Below are 25,553 nucleotides of genomic sequence, written 5' to 3'. Positions count from 1 at the left end.
ACGACACCTTCTTGTTGTGTCCTTACATAGTGGAAGGCACAAGGCAGCTTCTTGGTGCCTCTTTTATAAGGACACTAGTCTTGTTCATGAGGGCTCTGCCTTCGTGACCTAATCACCTCCTGTATTAGTCCATTTTCACACTGCTGATAAAGATATACCTTAGACTGGGTAATTTATGAAGAAAAAGAGGTTTAATGGACTCACAGTTCCACCTGGCTGGGGAGGTCTCACAACCATGGCGGAAGGCCAAAAGCTTGTCTTATATGGCGGCAGACAAGAGAGAATGAGAGCCAAGCAAAAGGGGCAACCCGTTATAAAATCGTCAAATCTCGAGACTTACTCACTATCGCAAGAGCAGTATGGGGGAAACCACCCCCATGATTCAATTATCTCCCACCAGGGGTCTCTCCTACAACACGTGGGAACTATGGGAGCTACAATTCAAGATGAGATTTGGGTGGGGACACAGCCAAACCATATCACCTCCCAAACACCTAGCTTCCTAAAACCATCATCTTGAGTGTCAGGATTTTAACACAGAAACTTGTGGGAAGCAGGGCATGGTGGCTCTTGTTTGTAATCCCAGCACTTTGGGAGGCCAAGGCGGGCAGATCACTTGAGGTCAGTAGTTCGAGACCAGCCTGGCCAACGTGGTGAAACCCCATCTCTACTAAAAATACAAAAATTAGCTGCGCATGGTGGTGTGTGCCTGTAGTCCCAGCTACTCGGGAGGCTAAGCAGGAGAATTGCTTGAACCCAGGAGGTGGAGGCTGCAGTGAGCCAAGACTGCGCCACTGCACTCCAGCCTGAGCGACAGGACAAGACTCTGTCTCAAAAAAAATAAATAAATAAAAGAAGGCCAGGTGTGGTGGCTCACGCCTGTAATCCCAACACTTTGGGAGGCCGAGGCGGGAGGATCACGAGGACGGGAGACTGAGACCATCCCGGCTAACACGGTGAAACCCCGTCTCTACTAAAAATACAAAAAAATTAGCCGGGCTTGGCAGCGGACACCTGTAGTCCCAGCTACTTGGGAGGCTGAGGCAGGAGAATGGCATGAACCTGAGAGGTGGAGCTCACAGTGAGCCGAGATCGCATCACTGCACTCCAGCCTGGGCGACAGAGCGAGCCTCTGTCTCAAAAAAAAAAAAAAAAGGAAGGAAGGAAGGAAGGAAGGAAGGGAGAAAGAAAGAAAGAGAGAGGGAGAAAGAAAGAAAGAGGGACACAGAGAGAAAGAAAGAAAGAAAGAAAGAAAGAAAGAAAGAAAGAAAGAAAGAAAGAAAGAAAGAAAGAAGAAAAAGGAAAGAGAAAGAAAGAAAGAAAGAAAGAAAGAAAGAAAGAAAGAAAGAAAGAAAGAAAGAAAGAAAGAAAGAAATCTGTGGGGAACACTTTCAGACCATAGCAATGCTCAATCGATGCTATAATATTTAGTGTTTCTGCCTTTGCTCTGTTGCCCAGGCTGGAGTGCAGTGGCACAATCACAGCTTACTGCAGCCTTGAACTCTTGGGCTCAAATGATTCTTTTGCCTCAGTCTCCCAAGTAGCTGGGACTATAGGTGAGTGCCACCATGCTCAATTAATTTATTGTTTTTATTGTTTTGCAGACATAGGGTCTCACTATGTTGCCCAGGGTGGTATTGAACTCCTGGCTTTAAGTGATCCTCTTGCTTCACCCTCCCAAAGTGTGGGGATTACAGGCATGAGCCACCACACCCAGCCCTGGTGTTACTATGTTTATTATTACATTATAAACTCCTTGGAGTTAAGGGTGGGGTCTTATTAAAACCAAACGTGGCAATTCCTAACTTGTAGGCAGCAGGTTGTGTTCCAAAAGTGTATACCTCAGAGCTTTTTTCCCACAGAGACAGCATCAACTGCTTATTTCCCAAGGCAAATCTGGAAACACTTATTTAAACTATAAGGTGACTTAAATATTGCACAACTGCAATTAAAAAAAAACTCAGAAAACAGCACTGATATAATGGAAATACAGCAGGAGAAGCAGCTCTTGCAGGTTCTTTTTTACAAGAGATGATAAAAGGCTTCTTGCTTGTGAATGGCCCTTGAGACTCTAAGGCAGGATTAATTAGAAGACCAAGAACAAGAGTTCACACTTCAAGATTCTGAAGGAGGCTTCTAGGGATGTTTAAGGGCCTTTAAGAGGGATGAGTCTAGGTTTTTAAATTTGTTTAATTGCACTTAAAAATGTATAACTTTCCTTTTCCTTGAGCCAATTTTCTGTAACATTGTTTCCACACATATCCTTAAAGTATCATCTTCAGGCCAATGATTCTCAAATTTGCCTATTTAGGCCACATGTTTATAGACCCTACTCCTGGCTTGACATGTGCACTTGGCAATCTCATGCACATCTCAGATTTAACATGGTCAAAACAGAACTCTTGACTCCAATTTGCCTCTGTCCAGGCCTTTCTTATCTCAGTAAATGGCACCAACACACTGGTTACTCACATCAAAACTTGGGAAATAGCTTTCTTTTCTTTTCTTTTCTTTTTTTTTTTTTTTTGAGATGGAGTCTAGCTCTGTTGCCCGGGCTGGGGTGCAGTGGCACAATCTCGACTCACTGCAACCTCCGCCTCCCGAGCTCAAGCGATTCTCCTGCCTCAGCCTCCCAAGTAGCTGGGATTACTGGTGCCTGCCACCACACCCAGCTAATTTTTGAATTTTTTTTTTTTTTTTGAGACGGAGTCTTGCTCTGTCACCCAGGCTGGAGTGCAGTGGCGCGATCTCGGCTCACTGCAAGCTCTGCCTCCCGGGTTTACGTCATTCTCCTGCCTCAGCCTCCCAAGTAGCTGGGACTACAGGCGCCCACCACCATGCCCGGCTATATTTGTTTTTTTTTTAGAGATGGGGTTTCACCATGTTAGCCAGAATGGTCTCGATCTCCTGACCTTGTGATCTGCCCGCCTCGGCCTCCCAAAGTGATAGGATTACAGGTGTGAGCACCCGCGCCCGGCCAATTTTTGTATTTTTTTAGTAGAGATGGGGTTTCGCCATGTTGGCCAGGCTGGTCTCGAATTCCTGACCTCAGGGGAGGTCTTCTTTAGAAGCAGCTGGGAGCGGTGGCTCATGCCTGTAATCCCATTCCTTTGGGAGGCCAAGGTGAGTGGATCACCTGAGGTCAGGAGTTTGAGACCAGCCTGGCCAACGTGAGGAAATCCCGTATCTACTAAAAATACAAAAATTAGCTGGGCATGGTGGTGGGTGCCTGTAATCCTAGCTAATGGGGAGGCTGAGGGAGGAGAACTGCTTGAACCTGGGAGGCAGAGCTTGCAGTGAGCTGAGATTGTGCCATTGCACTCCAGCCTGGGTCACAAGAGCAAAACTCCATCTCACAAATTAAATAAATAAATAAATAAAAATAAACTCTTTAGAAGAAAGAACATATAAACAAGAGTGGTAGTTTTAGACTAACAGAAACCAATATGGTAGCCACTAAGCACTTATAGCTACTGAGCACTTAAAATGTGGCTACTTTGTATTGAAATATGCTGTAAGTAAAATACACACTGGCTTTCAAGGCTTATCAAAAACAGAATGCAAAATATCTCATTAATAATTGTATATTGATTACATGAAGTGATAATATTTTGGATAAAATATATTGTTAAAATGAATTTCACCTGTTTTTAATTTCCTCAAATATGACTACTAGAAAGTTTAGAATTACATATGTGGCTCAAATTATATATTTTTTTCTTTTTCTTTTTTTTTGAGAGAGAGTCTCCCTCTGCTGTCCAGGCTGGAGTGCAGTGGCGCAATCACAGCCCACTGCAGCCTTGACTCCCTGGGCTCAAGTGATCCTCCCACCTCAGCCTCCCAAGTAGCTGGGACTACAGATGTTCATCACCACACCCAGCTAATTCTTTTGAGGGGGAGGGGCGGGGAGTTATGGAGGTCTTGCTGTGTTGCTCAGGCTAGTCTGAAACTCCTGGGCTCAAGCTATCCTCCCACCTTGGGCTCCCAAAGTGCTGGGATTACAGGCATGCACCACCACACCCAGTCCCATTTTCATACCTCGAGGGGCTATGTTCTAAGAAACATAATTTGGGAAATACTGTTTCAAAGATTAGTGTTAATGATTTATTTTATAATTTATTTATTTTTCTTAGACCACAGAATGAGATTATTTTTGAAAATGGTGGGGAGGGTAGTATTGATCCTAGGAATCAAGTAGTATTTCCTCTCTTTTCAAATTTATATCTTCAAACTCAGGTATTTATTGCCATCAGTTATCTGATGGTAGCAGGTGATAGATGAATCATCCTTATGGTCATTTAAAGTTGCAGGAGGGCCGGGCACGGTGACTCACGCCTGTAATCCCAGCACTTCGGGAGGCTGAGGCAGGCGGATCACGAGGTCAGGAGATTAAGACCAACCTGGCTAACACGGTGAAACCCCGTCTCTACTGAAAACTACAAAAAATTAGCCTGGCGTGGTGGCGGGCACCTGTAGTCCCGACTACTTGGGAGGCTGAGGCAGGATAATGGCATGAACCCGGGAGGCGGAGCTTGCAGTGAGCCAAGATCGCGCCATTGCACTCCAGCCTGGGCGACAGAACGAGACTCTGTCTCAAAAAAGTAAATAAATAAATAAATAATAATAATAAACTTGCAGGTCATTTAAAGTGCGGGGTGCAGCATGTAATAAATGCTCAATATATTTTTTAAAAGATCATGAGGCCCCACGCTATCTCTGCATCCTGAACTTTCTGGTGCTACCTCCGGGAAGATTTTACATCTTAAGACATGAGGGCACAACTGGAGTCAGAAATGCCTGGGTTTGGCCCTGGGCGGTGGCTCAGTCTTGTAATTCCAGCACTTTGGGAGGCCAAGGCGAGGGGATCACCCGAGGTCGGGAGTTGGAGACCAGCCTGACCAACATGGAGAAACCCCGTGTCTACTAAAAACACAAAACTAGCTGGATGTGGTGGCACATGCCTGTAATCCCAACTACTCCGGAGGCTGAGGCAGGAGAATTGCTTGAGGCAGGAGGTGGAGGTTGCGGTGAGCTGAGATCGCGCCATTGCACTACAGCCTGGGCAACAAGAGCAAAACTCCATCTCAAAAAACAACAACAAAAAAAATTAGCTGGGCGTGGTGGCGGGTGCTGTAATCCCAGCTACTCAGGAGGCTGAAGCAGGAGAATCACTTGAACCCAGAGGGCAGAGGTTGCAGCGAGACGAGATCGCACCATTGCACTCCAGCCTGGCCGATGGAGTGAGACCCTGTCTCAATAAAATAAAATGAAGTTGGAAAACCACTAAGCCACGGTCTAACTCAAACCCTTGAGTTTGCAGATGAGCAAATGAAGGTTTTGGGAGATTAAGTGCCCTGTCCAATGTCAGTGAGCACATCAATGTTTTACAAATTGGAAAGCGGGGAATAAAAAAGGTACTTAAAACAGGAAGTGGCCCAGAAACTATCACCTACATAATCTCCTGTCCCTTAAGCTTCCCTCCTCCATCATTTGTTTACCTGTAAGAGAAAATTACATTTTCTAAGTGCGCCATGAATATAGATATACTCCTTTCATCCAAACAGAAACAGAGAAGAGATTTACTACAGCATCAAGCAGCACCTCAGAACTCTTTCAGCCTTCCTGGCGAAAATGGACAAAGTTGCCCGGGCGCCGTGGCTCACGCCTGTAATCCCAGCACTTTGGGAGGGTGAGGCGAGTGGACCACCTGAAGTCAGTAGTTTGAGACCAGCCTGGCCAACATGGCAAAACCCTGTCTCTACTAAAAATAACAAAAATTAGCTGGGCGTGGTGGCGGGTGCCTGTAATCCCAGCTACTCGGGAGGCTGAGGCAGGAGAATCGCTTGAACCCAGGGGGGTGGAGGTTGCAGTGAGCCGAGATTGCGCCCGCCACTTCACTCCAGTCTGGGCAAAAGACTGAAACTCTGCCTCAAAAACAACAACAATAACAACAACAACAACAACAACAACAAAAACAGAAACGAAAAGAAATATTTTCGTTTGAACCCAGGAGGTGGAGGTTTCAGTGAGCTGAGATGGTGCCACTGCACTCCTTGGCGACAGAGTGAAACCCTGTCTCAAAACAAAACAAAAACAAAACAAACAAAAAACTTCCGCCCCTTTTTTTAAGTAAAAAGAGTTGGTTTTGTTTGTTTGTATTTTTGGGTTTTTTTTTGTTGTTGTTGTTGAGTTGTAGGAGCTCTTTATATATTCTAGATATTAACCCTTTATCAAATATATGATTTGCAAATATTTTCTCCCATTCCATGCTTTGTCTTTTCACCCTGTTGATGGTGTCCTTTGAGGCAAAAAGTTTAACATTTTGATGTAGTCTAATTTACCTGATTCTTCTTTTATTGCTTGTACTTTGGACTTTGGATATTGTGCTAAACTGAGTTCTTTTGATCAGTGTCTTTATAGTCAGAGAACTTGTCATATAGTCTAAAAGTTAAGCCAACAGAAGGATTCTTCATATTGTAGTCTACTGACCTCTTTTATAGAATCAAAGTGTTTTTTTCTGGAAAACACTGTGAGCTCTTTCTCATGTGTGTTATTAATACTTTTATCAAGTGGGCTTTCTACAAAAACAAAATGGTAATAAGATTCTTTTTTTTTTTTTTTTTTCAAAGAGCTTTCTGAAGTTTGCTAACTTATGAATGCAACCTTCCCTTCTTGCACCGGTCCTGAGCCGTGATTGTGCCACTGCACCCTAGCCTGGGTGACAGAGGGAGACCTTGTCTCTAAAAAAGAAAGAAAGAAAGATGATGAAAGTGTAGCAAAGGGTTATTTACAGAGGGTTTTAGTAAACTAACAAAGAATGCTGCAGTATCCTAGGGCTAGCAACATCAGGGAGCCTGCATTACCTTTAGGCTCAAAGATCAAGGGAGAGAGACAGTGGTTGCTGGAACTTAGAGAAGGCAGCTGGATGGAGACAGTCATATGACAGGAACTGTGGCCTTCAGTAGAGAGATGCAGCAACCTCCAGGTGACCTCAGGGAGGAAGCTTTAGGAATAAGCACCCAGACATCAATGTCTTCCTGTTCTCCCACGTGGCGGTGTTTCCTATGGTAGAACTCAGCCAGAAGACACAGGACAAGGGATTCAGCTGGCACGCTCCATGCAGGTCACTCTCTGGGTTGCAGAGCTGAATGGAGAAAGATGGAGAATAGATTTGCAGGGACCAATGGAGAATAGCAGGTGCACACACATTGTCCGGTCTGGCTTCTCAGCAGCCAAGAACCACCAGTTGGTCGATGTTTGAAGAATTACTATGGGCCGGGTGTGGTGGCACACATGGGTGCTTTGGGAGGCCAAGGCAGGAGGATCACTTGAGGTCAGGAGTTTGAGACTAACCTAGCCAATATAGCAAAACCCCATCTCTATAAAAAACACAAAAATTGGCCAGGTGCGGTGGCTCACGCCTGTAATCCCAGCAATTTGGGAGGCTGAGGTGGGCAGATCACGTGAGATGAGTTTCAGACCAGCCTGGCCAATATGGTGAAACCCCATCTCTATTGAAAATACAAAAATTAGCCAGGCATGGTGGTGTGCACCTGTAATCCCAGCTACTCTGGAGGCTGAGGCAGGAGAATTATTTGAACCCGGGAGGCGGAGGTTGCAGTGAGCCGAGATCATGCCACTGCACTCCAGCCTGGGCAACAGAGGGAGACTCTGTTTAAAAAACAAACAAATAAATAAATAAAAGTTAATCTCATCCAAAAATACCCTCACAGACTGGGTGTGGTGGCTCATGCCTTGTAATCCCAACACTTTGTGAATCTGAAGGAGTAGACTCGCTTGAGCCCAGGAGTTTGAGACCAGCCTGGGCAACATAGTGAGACCTTGTCTCTACAAAAAATTAAAAAATTAGCTGGGCATGGTGGCACACACCTGTGGTCCTAGCTACACCTGAGGCTGAGGGAGGAAGCTCACTGGAGCCTGAGAGGTCAAGGCTGCAGTGAGCCATGATTGCACCACTGCACTCCAGCCTGGCTGACAAAGCAAGACCCCGTCTCAAAAAGTAATGAAAAAAAAAATATCCTCACAGACACACCCAGAATACTGTTCAACCAAATATCTGGGCACCCTGTGCCCCAGTCAATTTGACACATTAAAATTAACTGTCACAATATCCTTCCAGCCTTTTCCTATATCTATATAACATTACATAACATATATATAGATAGCTATAAGTCTATTTCTTTTCTTTATTATTATTATTTTTAAGATAGGGTCTTACTCTATCACTCATGCTGGAGTGTAGTGGTGCAATTTTGGCTCACTGCAACCTCCACCTCCTAGGCTCAAGCAATTCTCTCACCTCAGCATCCTGAGTAGCTGGGACTACAGGTGTGTACCACCATGCATGGCTAAATTTTTTTTTTTTTTTTTTTTTTTTTTTGTAGAGACAGGGTTTCTCCATGTTGCCCAGGTTGGTCTTGAAATTCTGGACTCAAGTGATCACTCACCTTGGCCTCCCAGAGTCCTGGGATTACAGGCATGTGTTACCAGGCCCAGCTGGTGTATTTCTCTTCTTTTTCTTCTTCTTCTTTTTTTTTTTTTTTTTTTGTGTGTGTGAGATGGAGTCTTGCTCTGTCATCCAGGCTGGACTGCAGTGGCATGATCTCAGCTCATAATAACCTCCACCTTCCGGGTTCAGGCGATTCTCCCACCTCAGCCTTCCAAGTAGCTGGGATTACAGGCACCTGCCATCATGCCTGGCTAATTTTTGCATTTTTGTAGAGACGGGGTTTCACCATGTTGGTCAGGCTGGTCTCCAGCTCCTCTGTGGGAGGTGGGGGGATTGCTTAAGGCATGGAGCTCAAGATCAGTCTGGGCAACATAGAAAGACCCCATCTCTGGGCGGGCAGGGTGGCTCACGCCTGTAATCCCAGCACTTTGGGAGGCCGAGGCGGGCAGATCACGAGGTCAGAAGATGGAGACCAGCCTGGCCAACATGGTGAAACCCTTTCTCTTCTAAAAATACAAAAAATTAGCCGGGCATGGTGGCAAGTGCCTGTAATCTCAGCTACTCAGGAGGCTGTGGCAGAAGAATCGCTTGAACCCGGGAGGTGGAGGTTGTAGTGAGCTGAAATCGTGCCACTGCACTCCAGCCTGGGCGACAGAGTGAGACTCTGTCTCAAAAAAAAAATTAATAAATAAAATAAAAAGGCTGGACATGGTGGCTCACACCTGTAATCCCAGCACTTTGGGAGACCGAGGTGACTGGATCACCTGAGGTCAGGAGTTCGAGACTAGCCTGGCCAACATGGAGAAACCCTGTCTCTACTAAAATACAAAGTAGCCAGTGTGGTGGCACATGCCTGTAATCCCAGCTACTTGGAAGGCTGAGGCAGGAGAATTGCTTGAATCTTGGATGCAGAGGTTGCAGTGAGCCATGATCACGCCATTTCACTCCATTCCTGGGTAACAAGAGTGAAACTCCGTCAAAAAAAAAAAAAATCCAACTAGCCCAGTGTATGTTGTGGAATACACCTGTAGTCCCAGCTACTTGGGAGGCTAAGGTGAGAAAATCACTTGTGCCCAAGAGGTTGAGCTGCAGTGAGCTGTGTTTGCAGCACTGCAACTCAATCTGGGTAATAGAGCAAGACCCTGTCTCAAAAAAAATAAAAATAAAATAAAAAAGTAAAGAAAAGAAAGAAAGAAAAAGAGAGAGACTGGGCACAGTGGCTCATGCCTGTAATCCCAGCACTTTGGGAGGCTGAGGTGGGTGGATCACCTGAGGTCAGGAGTGCGAGACCAACCTGACCAACATAGTGAAACCCCATCTCTACTAAAAATGCAAAATTAGCCGGGTATGGCGGCAGGCACCTGTAACCCCAGCTACTCGGGAGGCTGAGGCAGGAGAATTGCTTGAACCCGGGAAGTGGAGGTTGCAATGAGCCGAGATCGTGCCACTGCACTCCAGTCTGGGTGACGGACTAGACTCCATCAAAAAAAGAAGAAAGAGAAAAAGAGAAAAGAAAGAAAGAAAGAAAAGAAAGAAAGGAAAGAAAAGAAATAAAAATAAAATTCTTAGTAAGTGGCTGTTATTAGTTTGACACAAAGGTAAAAAAGATGGTATCTGCTTTTAAATTGAGTAGTACAGGGCCAGGCTTTTATTAGTCCCCTTCCATCCCTGATGTTTGCTGGGAGTAAACACTTCCCCAATACTTGTTGATAATTTGGAGATTAGACTATTATTTTTCTACAATCCTATTATTTTCATATCCCTGTTTCCTTTACCTGAGGTGATGTAATACTCAGCCATCTGCTCCCCTTCATCTAAAAACTACCTTAAGTCCTGCTTTATCTGAGAAGCCTCTTCCAGGGACCAGCAGGGAGGGTCCTCTGAGACGTGGTATGCCTGGGGGATGGTGAAAACACTATGCCAAGCAGTGTGACCTTCAAATTATACAGCACAAAACACTTTATGGAATAAGCCTCCATTTGCTTCCCTGGTATGGGATGAAGAAATCATTTCAGCTAAGACATAGATAGCAGTGTCCCAAAGAAGCTAAATGATCCTATTTCAACTAGAAGTTCTGAAGTGAAATATTTATCCTTCCCTTATTTGGTAGTCTCTTTAACTCTTTAGAGTTAAACTTGCTGGGCGCAGTGGATCACGCCTGTAGTCCCAGCTACTCGGGAGGCTGAGGCAGGAGAATCGCTTGAACCCAGGAGGCAGAGGTTGCAGTGAGCCAAGACTGTATTTTTAGTAGAGATTGGGTTTCACCATATTGGCCAGGCTGGTCTTGAACTCCTGACCTCAGGTGAGCCACCCACCTCAGCCTCCCAAAGTGCTGGGATTACAGGCATGAGCCACTGCGTCCAGCATGTTAAATGATAACTGTATAAACAATAGAGGGCAGTAACTTGCTGTTGGGAGATTTTATTTACATAAGTTTGCATTTTATTTACATATATTCCTAATAATGGATTAATCAGGGAAAGCAAAGGAGTTAGCTCCATTAAAATCACCATGCCAGTCCTTGGGCAGCTCAGGACCAAACATAAGGGAATTTCACTTTCTTGTTTTCTCCAATTTAAAAGTTACAAATAGCTTAAGATGAGCATCACCGGCTTCCTATTTTATTGTTGAAAGAATGCACGAGCCACTGGGCAGCACTTCTTGTGCCCTGATTCATAGAATTTTGGCCCCTGCCTCAAGCTGAGACTGCCCAAGTGGAGATTTCAAATGTGTCATGAGGTTTCTCAGCCAAATTCCTCCTGCACCAGCTTGAAAAATCGCTATAAAAATAGCCCTTACTGAGGGAGCCTGACCTGTGACAAAGATTTCCTAGCTGGGAGCAGGAACAAGAAGGCTGCTGTTTTTCTTTTTGAAAAATCTGCTTTAATGTCTTTATGATGTGGATTTGCTTTTAAGATTGCATTTTAAAAATCACCCATGTAAGTTGAGTCTCCTGGTTGAGAATAAAGTTCCTCAATTCTTGGTGCCTAATAGGGGTTAATCCTGGGCCAGACATAGGGTCAAAAGAAAACAAAAGAGAGAATTCTCTTTTGTTTACTTAGAGAATAAATGTCAGTACAGTGTCTCTCTAGGAAGTTTGGAAGATTTCTAGGAAAATCCTGGTGATGAAAGACCCTGGGGTTGGTTTGTGTTCGAATCCTTACTGGAAGATCTTTTAGGAGTTAAGACAGGATCACGTTACTCACAGTTTTTGAGGTTCTGAGTGTATCAAAAATTTAAGAAATAACAAAGAGCATTCACAATTTGTACTATATTTTGTTTCCTTTTTATGTTTTGAACACTTTTAACACAAGGGGAAACAAACTATGAAGCGATGTAATTACATGTTCACCAGGTAATAATATAATTTATTAGGAAGTATGAATGCCATGCACAGCCTCTACAGGTGTGTGAGCTGGTAATGGACATAGTTTGTTAACTTCAGACTTCCTTCCTGTTCGAGTGTCTCTGGGACTCTGGGTCTAACTTCACTAGGCGATCACGTCAAAGGTCTAAATCTGACGCCTTTGACGAATGTGGAGTTGGGGCCAAATGTCCCTTCTGTCTCTGCCTGTGACATTCCCTTCCTGGCCCTGCCTGCTACCAGCTGGGTGACCTTGTGCAGGGAGCTAGCTTCTCTTGGTATCACAGCCCCAAAGTGTAAAATGCCACATTGAAACCTACCTTAGCTTGGTTTGGGGGAATTCCTTGAAGTAACAACTCATATTGATCATTTGACTGAGTGGTTTTGCATTAGTAAATGCTCAATAAAGGCCGAGTGCCGTGGCTCATGCCTGTAATCCCAGCACTTTGGGAGGCTGAGGTGGGCAGATGACCTGAGGTCAGGAGTTCGAGACCAGCCTGGCCAACATGGCGAAATCCTGTCTTTACTAAAAACACAAAAATTAGCTGGGCATGGTGGCACATGCCTGTAGTCCCAGCTGCTCGGGAGGCTGAGGCAGGAGAATTGCTTGAACCTGGGAGGCGGAGGTTGCAGTGAGCCGAGATGTTGCTACTACACTCCAGCTTGGGCGACAGAGCAAGACTCCATCTCAAAATAAAATAAAATAAAATAAAATAAAAAATAAATGCTCAATAAACATTAGGTAGAGTTGGTCACTATTTTTAGAGCTAAGACTTGATGTCTTGGCTAAAGTTTACTCAGTTGGTCTGTCTGAGTCACTGCCACACTCTAAGAGTATTCATTCTCTGTTCATTCATTCAACACCTATTTATTGAATGCTTACTTTTAGCTTTGTAAATTTTTGTTTTAGGCCGGGCACAGTGGCTTACACCTGTAATCCCAGCACTTTGGGAGGCGGAGGCGGGCGGATCACCTGAGGTCGGGAGTTTGAGACCAACCTGCCCAGCATGGTGAAACCCTGTCTCTACTAAAAATACAAAAATTAGCTGGGCATGGTGGCAGACGCCTGTAATACCAGCTACTCGGGAAGCTGAGGCAGGAGAATCGCTTGAACCCGGGAGGTGGAGGTTGCAGTGAGCCGAGATCGAGACATTGCCCTCCAGCCTGGGCAACAAGAGCAAAACTCTGTCTCAAAAAAAAAAAAAAAAAAAACAAAACTTCACAAATGTAATTTGTAATGGCTGCAGAAAATTTCAGCTCTGAATGTACTGCATCCTAATCAGTTTCCTATTGTTGAGCATTAGTATAATTTCCAGGTGTTTTGTTTTTGTTTTGCTATTAATAAGTAAAACTGAGATGAATACTTCTGTATCAATCTTGATCCTTATTTTAGATAATTTCCATTTCATTCCTCCCATTTCTTGAGTGCTTCCTATGGTCAGGTGCTGTGCTGTGTGCTGAGTATGGAGGAGGTAGGCTGAGATAGATGTGACCTTTGCTCTTGCAAAGCTGATATCCTAAGGGTTGGACCGATGCTAAATATGCAAAGAAACCCAATACTTGCAGATGGTGCTGGGTACTACCAAGGAAAGAAATAGGGTATGTGACAGAGTACCTGGAAAGGGCACTGGCCAGCTTTTATGGGCAAGGGACGTCAAAGAAACCTGTCTGGAGATGAGACAGGCCAGGAAAATCAGGGCAGGGGCCAGAGTAGGGCAAATGTGGTGCCTAGAGCCTCATTTTTTTTTTTAGATGGATTCTCGCCCTGTTGCCCAGGCTGGAGTGCAATGGCAGGATCTCAGCCTACTGCAACCTCTGCCTCCCAGGTTCAAGCAATTCTCCTGCCCCAGCCTCCTGAGTAGCTGGGATTACGGCAGAGCCTCAAATTTAAGGAGGGACTTACTCACAGGATTGTGCAAATGCAAAGTTGGCTTTTGCATGACCCTGGGAGTAGGTGCCTCCTTAAATTTTGCACCCTCAGCAACTCCATCACCTGTCACGTTGCTAGTCCCAACCCTGATGGGAACAAATGCAGGGAAGGCATTCCAGATGGCGGGAACAGCAAGTACAAAAATCCAGAGGCCAGAAAGGCTTGGTGTGTTTCAGGAACAGAAACTCGGCTCCCATGACTGAAATGGAGTAGGGAAATCCTAATGGAACCAGAGAGGCAGAACCACCAACAGGAAGAAGAAAAAAATGTTGGAAGTTATGAGAGTTGCTCACGTTTGATTCATTTGATTAATTTTATTGAAATGGAGTCTCACTCTGTTGCCCAGGCTGGAGTGTAGTGGCACGATCTAGGCTCACTGCAACCTCCACCTCCTAGGCTTAAGTGATTCTCTCATCTCAGCCTCCCAAAGTGCTGGGATTACAGGCGTGAGCCACCATGCCCCACCTGAAGCAATTTCTCTGTTGTCTTTTTTTTTTTAACTTCTCTCATAGAAATAATTAACCCTCAAAAACACTCAGTGTTGACAAAGGGTGGTGTGAGGACACAGAAAGTATCAGACTATCATTGGCAGAAACTTCTGGAAAGCAACTTAACAGTCTGTATCCAAAGACTTAAAATCATTAACAGCCTTTTCCCCAATAACTCCACTTCTCGGAATCTATCCTAAGGAAATCTGCCACAGCCAGAGTGATTTTTTCCGTCCCCTTAAGAAATGGTCTCATCCTGTTGCCCAGGCTGGAGTGCAGCGGCACCATTATGGCTCACCACAGCCTGAAACTCGTGGGCTCAAGCGATTCTCCCACCTCAGCCTCCCAAGTAATTGGGATCACAGGCATGCCTCCATATCCATATGCCTAGATGGATAATATTTTGACCAATAAAGAAAAAGAGGGCCAGGCGCGGTGGCTCACGCCTGTAATCCCATCACTTTGGGAGGCCGAGGCGGGCGGATCACGAGGTCAGGAGATTGAGACCATCCTGCCTAACACGGTGAAACCCCGTCTCCACTAAAAATATAAAAAACAAAATTAGCCGGGCTTGGTGGCGGGCGCCTGTAATCCCAGCTACTCGGGAGGCTGAGGCGGGAGAATGGCTTGAACCCGGGAGGCAGAGCTTGCAGTGAGCCGAGACTGTGCCACTGCACTCTAGCCTGGGCAACAGAATGAGACTCCATCTCAAAAAATAATAAAAATAAAATAAAAAAATTAAAAAGAAAAAGAAAGGTAGTACCAGAGATTGTGTCCAGTTGCTCAAGCAATTTCTAACTTGTCTAATGTAAAAAAATTTTAAATTTTTACACAAAATTAGCCGGGCATGGTGGCATGTGCCTGTAATCTTAGCTACTTGGGAGGCTAAGGCAGGAGACTCGCTTGAACCTGGAAGGCAGAGGTTGCAGTGAGCTGAGATCGCACCATTGCACTCCAGCCTGGGCCACAAGAGTGAAACTGTGTCTGAAAAAAAATTTTAATAATTTTTGTAGAGATGGGGGTCTCACTATGTTGCTCAGGCTGGCCTATAACTCCCAGGCTCAAGGATCTTCCAGTCTCAGCCTCCCATCACTGGAATTACAGGCATGAATCACTTCACCTAAATGATTTTTTTTTTTTTGGAGACAGTCTTGCTCTGTCACCCAGGCTGGAGTTCAGTGGCATGATCTCGGCTCACTGCAACCTCTGGCTCCCGGGTTCAAGCAATCCTCATGCCTCAGCTTCCCCGAATAGCTGGGACTACAGGCGTGCGCCACCATGCCTGGCTAATTTTTGTATTTTTTTGTAGAGATGGGGTTTCACCATGTTTGTCAGGCTGGTCTCCTGACCTCAAATGATCCACCCACCTCGGCCTCCCAAAGTGCTGGGATTACAGGAGTCAGCCATCCATGGTGCCCCTCCTTTTCTTTTTCTTCTCCTCCCTCCCTCCCTCCCTACCCTCCGCAGCCCAGGCTGGAGTGCAGTGGCGGGATCATAGGTCACTGCAGCCTCCACCCGCTGGACTCAAGTCATCCTCCTGCCTCACCCTCCTGAGTTCCTGGGACCACAGGCACGCGCTACCACGCCAGCTAATTTTTGTAATTTTTGTAGTCCCCATCATTTAGAACTGGCAGGATCCTCCCTTAGTGAGGGATTGGTGGCCATAAGCAAGGAGCCCAAGGTGGAGGGGATATGCATGTGTGTGAAGGGGTCAACTCCTCGTAATCTTCAAGTACTTTTGGTAACAATATTTATTTGCACAAGCGATATATAAAGACGTTTTCTTTGCAACATAAAATGATAGGTTATGACTCCTTATGCAGATACGGTTTAGACACTCGTTTAAGGAGCATCCTGGCCCAACTTTTAAAAAACGTGTGTGCATTCACGTTATGCATCAGATGCTTTAGGGAACTTTTTTCCCTGGGGCATGGGACACGTCATGGGGTAGACGGTCGGGTACGTCTCCTCTACCCAGCTGCTGCTTTGTTTTTTTTTTCTTTTTGAGACAGAGTCTTGCTCTGTCGCCCACGCTGGAGTGCAGTGGAGCCATCTCTGCTCACTGTGAGCTCCGCTTCCCGGGTTCACGCCATTCTCCTGCCTCAGCCTCAGGAGTAGCTGGGACTACAGGCACCCGCCACCACGCCCGGCTAATTTTTTGTATTTTTAGTAGAGACGGGGTTTCACCGTGTTAGCCAGGATGGTCTCGATCTCCTGACCTCGTGATCCGCCCGCCTCGGCCTCCCAAAGTGCTGGGATTACAGACGTGATCCACCACGCCCGGCCTTCTCTCTTTCTTTTCTTTTTTCCTTTCCTTTCCTTTCCTTTCCTTCCTTCCTCCCTTCCTTCCTTCCTTTTTCTTCCCTCCCTCCTTTCTCTCTCTCTTTTATTTTTTTGAGACAGAGTTTCACTCTTGTTGTCCAGGCTGGACTGCAATGGTCTGATCTCGGCTCACTGCAACCTCGGCCTGCTGGGTTCAAGCGATTCCCCTGCCTCAGCCTCCCAAGTAGCTGGGATTACAGGCGCCCTCCACCATGCCCGGCTAATTTTTGTATTTTTAGTAGAGGCGGGGTTTCTCCATGTTGGCTAGGCTGGTCGGGAACTCCTCACCTCAGACGATCCGCCCACCTCGGCCTCCGAAAGTGCTGGGATTACAGGCGTGATCCACCGCGCCTAGCCCCCAGCTTCTTTCACCAGCAGAAGGCGGGCAAGCCTCAGGGTGAAAGGACTTCAAAGCACATTTCACATTGCAGAGGACAGGGTTTGGTGATCGTGGGTACTCCCTTCCCTTCCATCGTTTAGTTTTTTTCATTGTGAAGAAATGGTAAAAGGTGCCAGGACTCGATGGGCACATTTCAGGTGGAGGTTGGGAAGGTGGATATCCACCTCTCGATCTTACTATTTTCACTTTCCACCCCACCCCGTAGAAAGTGGGAAAACTGGCGCACGTGAATCCAAGGGCACGCCTGTGTGCGCGCGCACCGCAGGGCACCAGCCCCCACCCACACCGCAGGTCCTTGATTGGACGCCTGTTTACACCTGACTGCCCGGCCCTCCGGTGCTTTCCGGGAAGCGTTTGGGAGAAAAGTGTGTGGCCGCAGTAGTGGAGATCCCCTGTCTTAGGATTCGTCACCGCTACGCCCAGACCTCTTCGCCGCCCAAGGGCCTGGGGACGTGGGGGGCGGGGCGGCCTGCTATCGACCCCGCCTCTCTCGGCTCCGCCCCGCCGACAGGACCCGCCTCTCTCCCCAGGCCCGGCGGGCGCCAACCCCGCCCCTCGCTCCCAGCATGCCGTGCGACAGCGGCGGCGCGGCGGGCGGAGCCGGGAGGCGGGGAAGCAGTGGCCGTGTGAGCGTGAGGAGCTGCCGCCACCGCCTGCTCCTCGTCGTCCTCGTCCTCCGGGGCCCCGGCGACGTGGGCCGCGCACGGCCCTGGAAAAGACGTCGCCTCCCCTTCATCCGCCTCTCTCTCACCGCGCCGCTCCCGCCTCCTCGTCCTGCGCTGCGGGCTCAGGCGGAACCCGGAACGGCCGTCCTCTTCCCCCGCCCTCCGCCGCCTCCTCCTTCTCCTCCTCCTCCTCCTCCTCCTCCTTCTCGGCTTCCTCCTCAGCCCCGGGCCGGAGCGGGGTGTCGGCGGCGGCCGGTTCGGGCGGCGACTCGCGCTTCTTTGGGCGGCGGCGCTTGGCCATGTCGTGTCGGGGAAGGTAATGAGCCGCAGAGCCCCGGGGTCTCGGCTGAGCAGCGGCGGCGGCGGCGGCGGCACCAAGTATCCGCGGAGCTGGAATGACTGGCAACCCAGGTGGGTGACCGGCCCGGGACCCCGCCCCGACCTCCCGGGCTCCGCCTCGGGCGGGCCGAGGCCTAGGGCCGCGGGGCTGGGAGGCGCGGCCTAGGCCCTCCACCCCTCGGAGCCGGGCGCGGCTTCCTGGGTCTCCTCCGCCCCGGCTGGGGGAGGAAGGCCGCGGGGAGGCGAGGCCTAAGTGCCTCCCCTCCCTGCTTGTTCAGCCCGGGGCTGGAGCCGAGACCCGGGGCTCCCGGCGGTGGCACTGGCCTGGGGTCGGGACCAGGAGGTGAGAAAGAGGCGGGGGTGGGGGTGGGGGGCATTCCAGTTACAGCCTCCCCCTGACCCCGAGTTGGGAGATGCTGAGAGTCCAGGACCCTCCCTGTTACTCATTCACTTTCTCGGTTCCCCACTCTTTCAGCCGCCACGTGAGAGCTCTTCTAACCTCTGTTCCTTTCTGTGACCCCCACGTGTTAATATTGAAAAAAACAAAACAAAACTCCAGCTAAGGCATTGCTCTGACTCTAGGCAGAACATTCATTAGTGGAGCATGAGATGAGATTGTGTGACTGTTGATGGGATCGACCCACGCTGGTCTTGGGCGATGGAAGTTTTCCCTAAGTGCAAGGCCGGTTACTCTGGTGAATCGTAATTCATACCTGGACACTTGAGTGAACTCTTTGGGCACCCACTTAGAAGTCTAGAGAATTTCCTCATTTATGGAGGATTTGATCTCAGACCGTTTTGGGGCTTAGTGAGATTTGAATATATTAGGAACATTAACTTTTTAAATAAATGTAGTTTCCTGTCTTTTTGATCAATGGGAGGGCAGCTGTGCCTAATTTAGGACTGATTTATTCTAATCTCTCTTAATAAATGCTTGTATTCAGAGTCTGTTTGGAATTTAACCCAATGCTTAGAACTCCTTAAATATACAGAAATATATTTTAGGGGTAATTGATTCATGGAACTCTCCTACTTTGGAGCACAATTGTTATAATTGTCCAGAAACTGGCCAAATAATGTAGAACGCGCAAGTTGTTGGGAAGCCCTTTTGTTTCCTGATAGTTACATGTAATTCCAGCAGTATTTGGAAATAATTTGCTAAGATGTTAGAATGTAACATTTGAAGACTCGTTAGAAAAATCAATAAAATTATCTTTGGCTAATAGGTGGTACACATCTTAGTCTATTTAATATGCCTTTCCAAATACTGTGTCTGTTGAGAATTGGTGTATATAACTAGATGACTTTAATAATTAGTGCCTGAGTCTAGAATTGAGATGTTTAGTCGTAAAAAAAAAAATATTGTTCGATAAACAGCGTTGACTTGTCTTGTACCACTTAAGAGTTTGTGAGTGCTTTAAATAAAATTAGTTGATTAAGTATTTTTTTCTATGATTGACATGCTTAGTTTTGCCTTTTTATTGAAATGTGTGAAATTTGATTTTCTGGCATCTAACAAATTAGGTGGTAAATAAATGACAATGGATTTTCTATTATTTTTCAGTATTGTGATCAGTATAAGTATATAAGAGAATTTAGTAACCTTTTAGAAGAATAAAGTGCCCTTCCCAAATAGTCCTACAGCTTTTGGAAAAGTGTAAATTGTAGTTGGTAGTTCTAAATAAATAGAGAAGAGTCGCAGCCACGTGCTAGGGCCAGCTGACTTCATTGCTGACAGGTATGAAGCCAAATGGCTTATGTAGTTATGGAATATGTACATGAGCTATTAATAAATATTATCCATGTTGTTTCTTTCAAGTGCTTTATTTCTTGGCTCTGGGGAGGGGCGATGGGGGAAGGGAGGAGCTTACAAGAAAGCTTACAAGGTTTCTTTGAAGCTGTGCTTTTTGTAAGAAAGTTTCAGGATGTAACGCCTTGGTAGACGATACTGTGATATACATTTGGTTATAGGGAGTAACAGTTTGTTAGGATGTTGGAAAGATTTGATTTTCTCCTGTTGTAGAGGGAACAGGGAAGTGTGGACATACCCCATAGCATAACTTGATTTGTTGCTAAGATTGTCATAGCTGATTTGTTAGTCAATAAAAATACCTGGGGTGTTTGCCAAGTCATAAATTTTTATTAGTTAAATTTGAGGTGATTCTGTCCCCTATTCAGAAAGACGACAGACTCCAGGTAACTGACAGAACGGATCTTGATCTTGCTTCTTGCTTAAATGAAGGTTTAGAACATCTTCAGATGCAGGCACATTTATTATGGTTCATCTGAATAATTTTGATTAATTTTTTTTTGCCTCTTATGTACCATTTTGTCCCTGGTGTTTTGGTTCTGTTTTCCTTGATGTAGGCCTTTTTTTTTTCCTTCCTGAGATGGAGTCTTGCTCTGTCTCCCAGGCTGGAGTGCAGTGGTGTCATCTCGACTCACTGCAGCCTCTGCCTCCCGGTTACAAGGAAAAATTCTCCTGCCTCAGCCTCCTGAGTAGCTGGGATTACAGGCGTCCAGCTAATTTTTGTATTTTTAGTAGAGACGGGATTCCACCATGTTGGCCAGCCTGTTCTTGGACTCCTGACTCAGGTGATCCGCCTGCTTTGGCCTCCCGAAGTGCTGGGATTACAGGTGTAAGTCACCGCACTCAGCCGATTTAGGCTTTTGAAAAAGCAACACTTGTTGATTTCTTTTAGTGTTAGTTTGCCAGTTGGTGTGGAAAATGACTGTTGAGTCCATTTTGACCACACATGATACTTCACACATACTGACAGGAAGTGTTGCAGGTGGCTGTATACGTGAATGTCTTATGGCAAGAGAGCAAACCCGTGTTCCATAGAAGCATACCTCCAACAGTAAGCATTTATATGGCACTGGCTTATAGTCTTCCTTTTCATTCACTGTGCTCCCAGTCAACTCTTCTGTAAATTTTTTTGAGAACAGGGTCTTGCTGTGTCACCCAGGCTGGAGTGCAGTGGCACAGATACTTGGCTTACTGCAGTCTCGACCTCCCAGGCTCAAGCCTCCTGCCTCAGCATCCACAAGTAGCTGGGGCTACAGGCGCTTGCCAACAGCCCGGCTCATTTTTGTATTTTTTGTAGAGATGGGGTTTTCACCACGTTGCCCAGGCTGGTCTTGAACCCCTGAACTCAAACAGTCTGCCCACCTTCAGTCTCCCAAAGTGTTGAGATTACAGGTGTGAGCCACCGCACCCGACATTTAAGAATGGTTAAGCAGGCCGGGGGCAGTGGCTCACACCTGTAATCCCAGCACTTTGGGAGGCTGAGGTGGGTGGATCACCCGAGGTCAGGAATTCGAGACCAGCCTGGCCAACTGACATGGTGAAACCCCGTCTCTACTAAAATAAATAAATAAATAAATAAATTAGCGGGATATGGTGGTGCATGCCTGTAATCCCAGTTACTCGGGAGGCTGAGGCAGGAGAATCACTTGAACCTGAGAGGCGGAGGTTGTCCTGAGCGACATCACACCACTGCACTCCAGCCTGGGCAACAGAGCAAGACTCCTTCTCAAAGAATGGTTAAACAAATGAGTGGTCTTAGGTCAGTTGTATTATTTGAAATCTATGGGTTCCTCAAGCGTAAAGTTGAGAAGGTTTTGGGAACCACTGGATGCCTCTGGTTTTTTTCATATGAAGAAACAGGGGTGGTGGCTTCTTAGAACAAAGGGATATCTGACCTATGGAGGTTGCCCTCTTTACTCCTCTTCCCTAAAAAAATGACCTATCATTGCCAATAGCTAAAGTCTGTCATTTTTTCCACCTTAGTTTGGAAGATAATCTTCTAGTATCAATCAAGACAGAGATCAGAATGATGTGTTTTAAAATTAAATGTGTAATTCATAATTGTACATTTTAATATTCTAAAGTGACTGATTAATTTGACATTGGAGTCAAATAGATTGATTAATTCAACAAAGAAGAGAAGGCATTCAAGTCAACAGAAAACAAGTAGATTTTACTTCTCCACTCGGGGTTTTAGGACATTAATTGTGTAATTGGTCTTACTTGTTTAGTAGTAGATCTATATTGAGTGTCTTACTGTGCCCAAACTTAGGATCTTTCTATACTTCTAAAAGGATGAAACTGTATAATAAAAAGACCTTCCAATTTTGGTAGATTGTAGACAGATTAAAGTATTCAAAAGTACACACATCTTCTCTGTTGTGAAAGACCAAGAAATGGAAATGTGTTGTGAAATTAGAAAAGCTGTATACTAGTATGTCTGATGTTGTGAGAAGCTGGATTTTTGAAACCAGAGTTGTCTATTCAGCCTTTTATCAGTCTGTACTAAGTTTGATGTCCATAGGTACATAATACGGGGAAATACATAAAGGATAAAATTAAGTGAAGTTACATATTTTATACCTATTAGGTGGGTGCAAAAGTAATTGCGGTTTTGGCAAAAACCGCAATTACTTTCACACCAGTCTAATATTAAATGGAACTAGAGTCAAATAGAATTCAGTGATTTCCAGTTCTGTTCCACGGATTTCAAAGTACACTAAGGAAAATTTCAGCAAATTGTGTATGGCTATTTTACTTGAGGGGAGAGTAAAACAGCCATAATAAACTAAAAAATAAAAATGAAAAATAAAACTAAAGGAACGTTTGTTTTTATGTTTTTCTTTTCTTTTCTTTCCTCTGTTTTGAGATATGCTCTTGCTCTGTTGTCCAGGCTGGAGTGCAGTGGTGCAATCACTGCTCACTGCAGCCTTGACTTCCTCTGGGAATCCTCCCGCCTTAGCCTCCTGAGTAGCTGGGACCACAGGTGCATACCACCACACCACTAATAAATTAGTCCCAGGCTAATTTATTTATTTTTCCTCTCTCTCTCTCTCTTTTTTTTTTTTTTTTTTGAGACAGAGTTTTACTTTGTCGCCCAGGCTGGAGTATAGTGGCACAATCTCAGCTCACTTGTAACCTCCACCTCCTGGTTCAAGTGATTCTCCTGTCTCAGCCTCCCAAGTAGCTGGGAATACAGGTACATGCCACTATGCCCGGCTAATTTTTGTGTTTTTAGTGGAGATGGGATTTCACCATGTTGGCCAGGCTGGTCTTGAACTGCTGACCTCAGGTGATCCACCGGCTTCGGCCTCCCAAAGTGCTGGGATTACAGACGTGAGCCACCATGCCTGGCTTCCTCTCTCTTTTTCTGAAACAGAGTCTTACTCCATTGCTCAGGTTGGAGTGCAGTGGAACCATCTCAGCTCACTGCAGCCTCCACCTCCCAGGCTCAGTAAGTCCTCCTACCTCACCCTCCCAATAGCTGGGACCACACGTGCATGTCACCACCCCCAGCTACTTTATTTTTTTTTGTTTTTTGTAGAGATGGGGTTTTGCCATGCTGCCTGGGCTGGTCTTGAATACCTAGGCTCAAGTGATCCTTCCTCCTTGGCCTCCCAAAGTGCTGGGATTACAGGTGTGACCCACCATGCTTGGCACGCTAATTTTTTATTTTTATTTTTTTGTAGAGATGGGGCCTCCCCATGTTGCCCATGCTGGTGTCAAACTCCTACTCCATTATGAAATAAGTCATTCCTTATGAAACACTTAGTAATTGTATCTTTAAGTTGAACCTTCACCTCACCCCAACTTTTTTTTTTTTTTTTTTGAGACGGAGTTTTGCTCTTGTTGTCCAGGCTGGAGTGCAATGGTGCAATCTCGGCTCACTGCAACCTCCACCTCCCAGGTACAAGCGATTTTCCTGTCTCAGCCTCCTAAGTAGATCAGATTACCGGCATGTGCCACCACACCCGGCTAACTTTTTTATATTTAGTAGAGACGGGGTTTCACCATGTTAGTCAGGCTGGTCGTGAACTCCTGACCTCAGGTGATCCACCTGCCTCGGCCTCCCAAAGTGCTGGGATTACAGGTGTGTGCCACTGCACCCGGCCTTTTTTTTTAAGACATAGTTTTACTCTGTCTCCCAGGCTGGAGTGCAGTGGCACGATCTTGGCTCAGTACAACCTCCACCTCCTGGGTTTAAGTGATTCACGTGCCTCAGCCTCCCGAGTAGCTGGGACTACAGGTGCATGTCACCAGGCCCGGCTAATTTTTGTATTAGAGACAGGGTTTCGCCATGTTGGCCAGGCTGGTCCCGAACTCCTGACCTCAGGTTCCCACCTCGGCTTCTCAGAGTGCTGGGATTACAGGAGTGAGACACCGTGCCTGGACCCCCCCAACCCCTTTTGTTTTGATTCCTTTACAAATTAGTATAATGGAAGGTTTGTTTGTTTTTTATAACAGGTAATGAAATACTCTAATTCAGTAAATATTGATGCTTCTAGGGAGATTGTGTGTGTGTGTGTGTGTGTGTGTGTGTGTGTGTGTGTGTGTATATATACACACACACACACACATTTTTTTTTTTGAGACGGAGTGTTGCTCTGTTGCCCAGGCTAGAGTGCAGTGGCGCAATCTCGGCTCACTGCCAGCTCTGCTTCCCGGGTTCACGCCATTCTCCTGCCTCATCCTCCTGAGTAGCTGGGATTGCAGGTGCCCGCTATGATGCCTGGCTAATTTTTTGTATTTTTAGTAGAGATGGGGTTTCACCGTGTTAGCCAGGATGGTCTTGATCTTCTGATGTCATGATCCGCCCGCCTCAGCCTCCCAAAGTGCTGGGATTACAGGCATGAGCCACCGTGCCCGGTCATAAATTTTTTTTTTAGAGATGGGGTCTCACTGTGTTGCCCAGGCTGAAATGCACTGGTGCAGTCTTGGCTCACTGCAACCTCGGCCTCCTGGGTTCAAGCGATTCTCCTACCTCAGCCTCCCGAGTAGCTGGGATTACAGGCATGTGCCACTACCCCTGGCTAATTTTTGTATTTTTAGTAGAGATGGGGTTTCACCATGTCGACCAGGCTGGTCTCGAACTTCTGACCTCAAGTGATATGCCTGTCTTGGCCTCCCAAAGTGCTGGGATTACAGGCATAAGCTACTGCACTGGGCCACGGCCAGGATTTTTATGACTTGTAAAACCACTGTCTTCAAGGAGGCTATAAGTTATTATGGGAGAAAAGTAAAGGGCTTTGTAAAGGGGAGAGCATGTGGATTTTGTGATACAATTCTCAGTATACCTTCCTTCCTTTCTTTTTTTTTGAGACAGTCTTGCTCTGTCACTTAGGCTGGAGTGCAGTGGCATGATTGACAGGGTTTCGCCAGGTTGGCCAGGCTGGTCTTGAACTCCTGACCTCAGGTGATCTGCCCGCCTTGACCTCCCAAAGTGCTGGGGTTACAGGCCAACATGGTGAAACCCCGTCTCTACTAAAAATACAAAAATTAGCTGGATGCAGTGGTGGGTGCCTGTAATCCCAGCTACTTGGGAGGCTGAGGCAGGAGAATCGCTTGAACCCAGGAGGTGAAGGTTGCAGTGAGCCAAGATCATGCCATTGCACTCCAGTCTGGGTGACAGAGTGAGACTGTCTCAAAAACAAAAACAAAAACCTGGAGGGTCAGAGGAGGGAAAGCTATACAGTTAAGTATGGAGCGGTAGGGTGATGGAATTGGTCTGTACAATTTTCACTGTGAATTTGGGGGAGAATCCCCCC

The 25,553-nt window shown here is 46.3% G+C and overlaps 1 protein-coding gene and 1 long non-coding RNA gene across 11 annotated transcripts in view, besides 6 other annotated features; one reads left to right on the top strand and one right to left on the bottom strand.

Moving 5' to 3' along the window:
• Positions 1-6,783: 6,783 nt before the first annotated feature.
• SMG1-DT (SMG1 divergent transcript) lies at positions 6,784-17,813 on the bottom strand. The gene is made up of 2 exons (XR_001752094.2): positions 17,726-17,813; positions 6,784-7,144 (listed from the first exon to the last, which is right to left on the bottom strand). It is a non-coding gene; the product is annotated as an SMG1 divergent transcript (long non-coding RNA).
• Positions 16,499-17,112: an enhancer, noted in NCBI's record as "NANOG-H3K27ac-H3K4me1 hESC enhancer chr16:18938210-18938823 (GRCh37/hg19 assembly coordinates)". NCBI's record gives its function as "activates a minimal SCP1, AML or CMV promoter by ChIP-STARR-seq in naive H9 embryonic stem cells {active_cell/tissue: H9 hESC(naive)}" and the evidence as "EXISTENCE:reporter gene assay evidence [ECO:0000049][PMID:30033119]".
• Positions 17,113-17,725: an enhancer, noted in NCBI's record as "NANOG-H3K27ac-H3K4me1 hESC enhancer chr16:18937597-18938209 (GRCh37/hg19 assembly coordinates)". NCBI's record gives its function as "activates a minimal SCP1, AML or CMV promoter by ChIP-STARR-seq in naive H9 embryonic stem cells {active_cell/tissue: H9 hESC(naive)}" and the evidence as "EXISTENCE:reporter gene assay evidence [ECO:0000049][PMID:30033119]".
• Positions 17,113-17,750: a biological region, named in NCBI's record as "NANOG-H3K27ac-H3K4me1 hESC enhancer GRCh37_chr16:18937597-18938209".
• Positions 17,411-17,750: a silencer, noted in NCBI's record as "silent region_7238". NCBI's record gives its function as "represses an Ori minimal core promoter by ATAC-STARR-seq in GM12878 lymphoblastoid cells {active_cell/tissue: GM12878}" and the evidence as "EXISTENCE:reporter gene assay evidence [ECO:0000049][PMID:35858748]".
• Positions 17,592-25,553, top strand: part of SMG1 (SMG1 nonsense mediated mRNA decay associated PI3K related kinase) — a 121,549-nt gene continuing 113,587 nt past the window's right edge. For 7 of the 10 annotated variants that reach the window (XM_047433796.1, XM_005255184.5, XM_047433793.1 and 4 more), the window contains exon 1: positions 17,592-18,050. In XM_047433796.1, the coding sequence (XP_047289752.1) occupies positions 17,959-18,050 (92 nt within the window). In that variant the 5' untranslated portion in view covers positions 17,592-17,958. Of the gene's footprint in view, positions 18,051-18,112; positions 18,322-25,553 lie in introns of those variants that run through there. The other 3 variants (XM_047433794.1, XM_017023066.3, XM_047433795.1) reach the window with 2 other exon arrangements.
• Positions 17,781-18,370: a silencer, noted in NCBI's record as "silent region_7237". NCBI's record gives its function as "represses an Ori minimal core promoter by ATAC-STARR-seq in GM12878 lymphoblastoid cells {active_cell/tissue: GM12878}" and the evidence as "EXISTENCE:reporter gene assay evidence [ECO:0000049][PMID:35858748]".
• Positions 20,559-20,618: an enhancer, noted in NCBI's record as "active region_10522". NCBI's record gives its function as "activates an Ori minimal core promoter by ATAC-STARR-seq in GM12878 lymphoblastoid cells {active_cell/tissue: GM12878}" and the evidence as "EXISTENCE:reporter gene assay evidence [ECO:0000049][PMID:35858748]".

The sequence above is a fragment of the Homo sapiens genome, chromosome 16 (assembly GCF_000001405.40).
Source record: "Homo sapiens chromosome 16, GRCh38.p14 Primary Assembly".
NCBI classification, from domain to species: Eukaryota; Metazoa; Chordata; class Mammalia; order Primates; family Hominidae; genus Homo; species Homo sapiens.
Note: the sequence above shows the minus strand (reverse complement) of the source record. Positions and strands in the feature narration are given on the sequence as shown.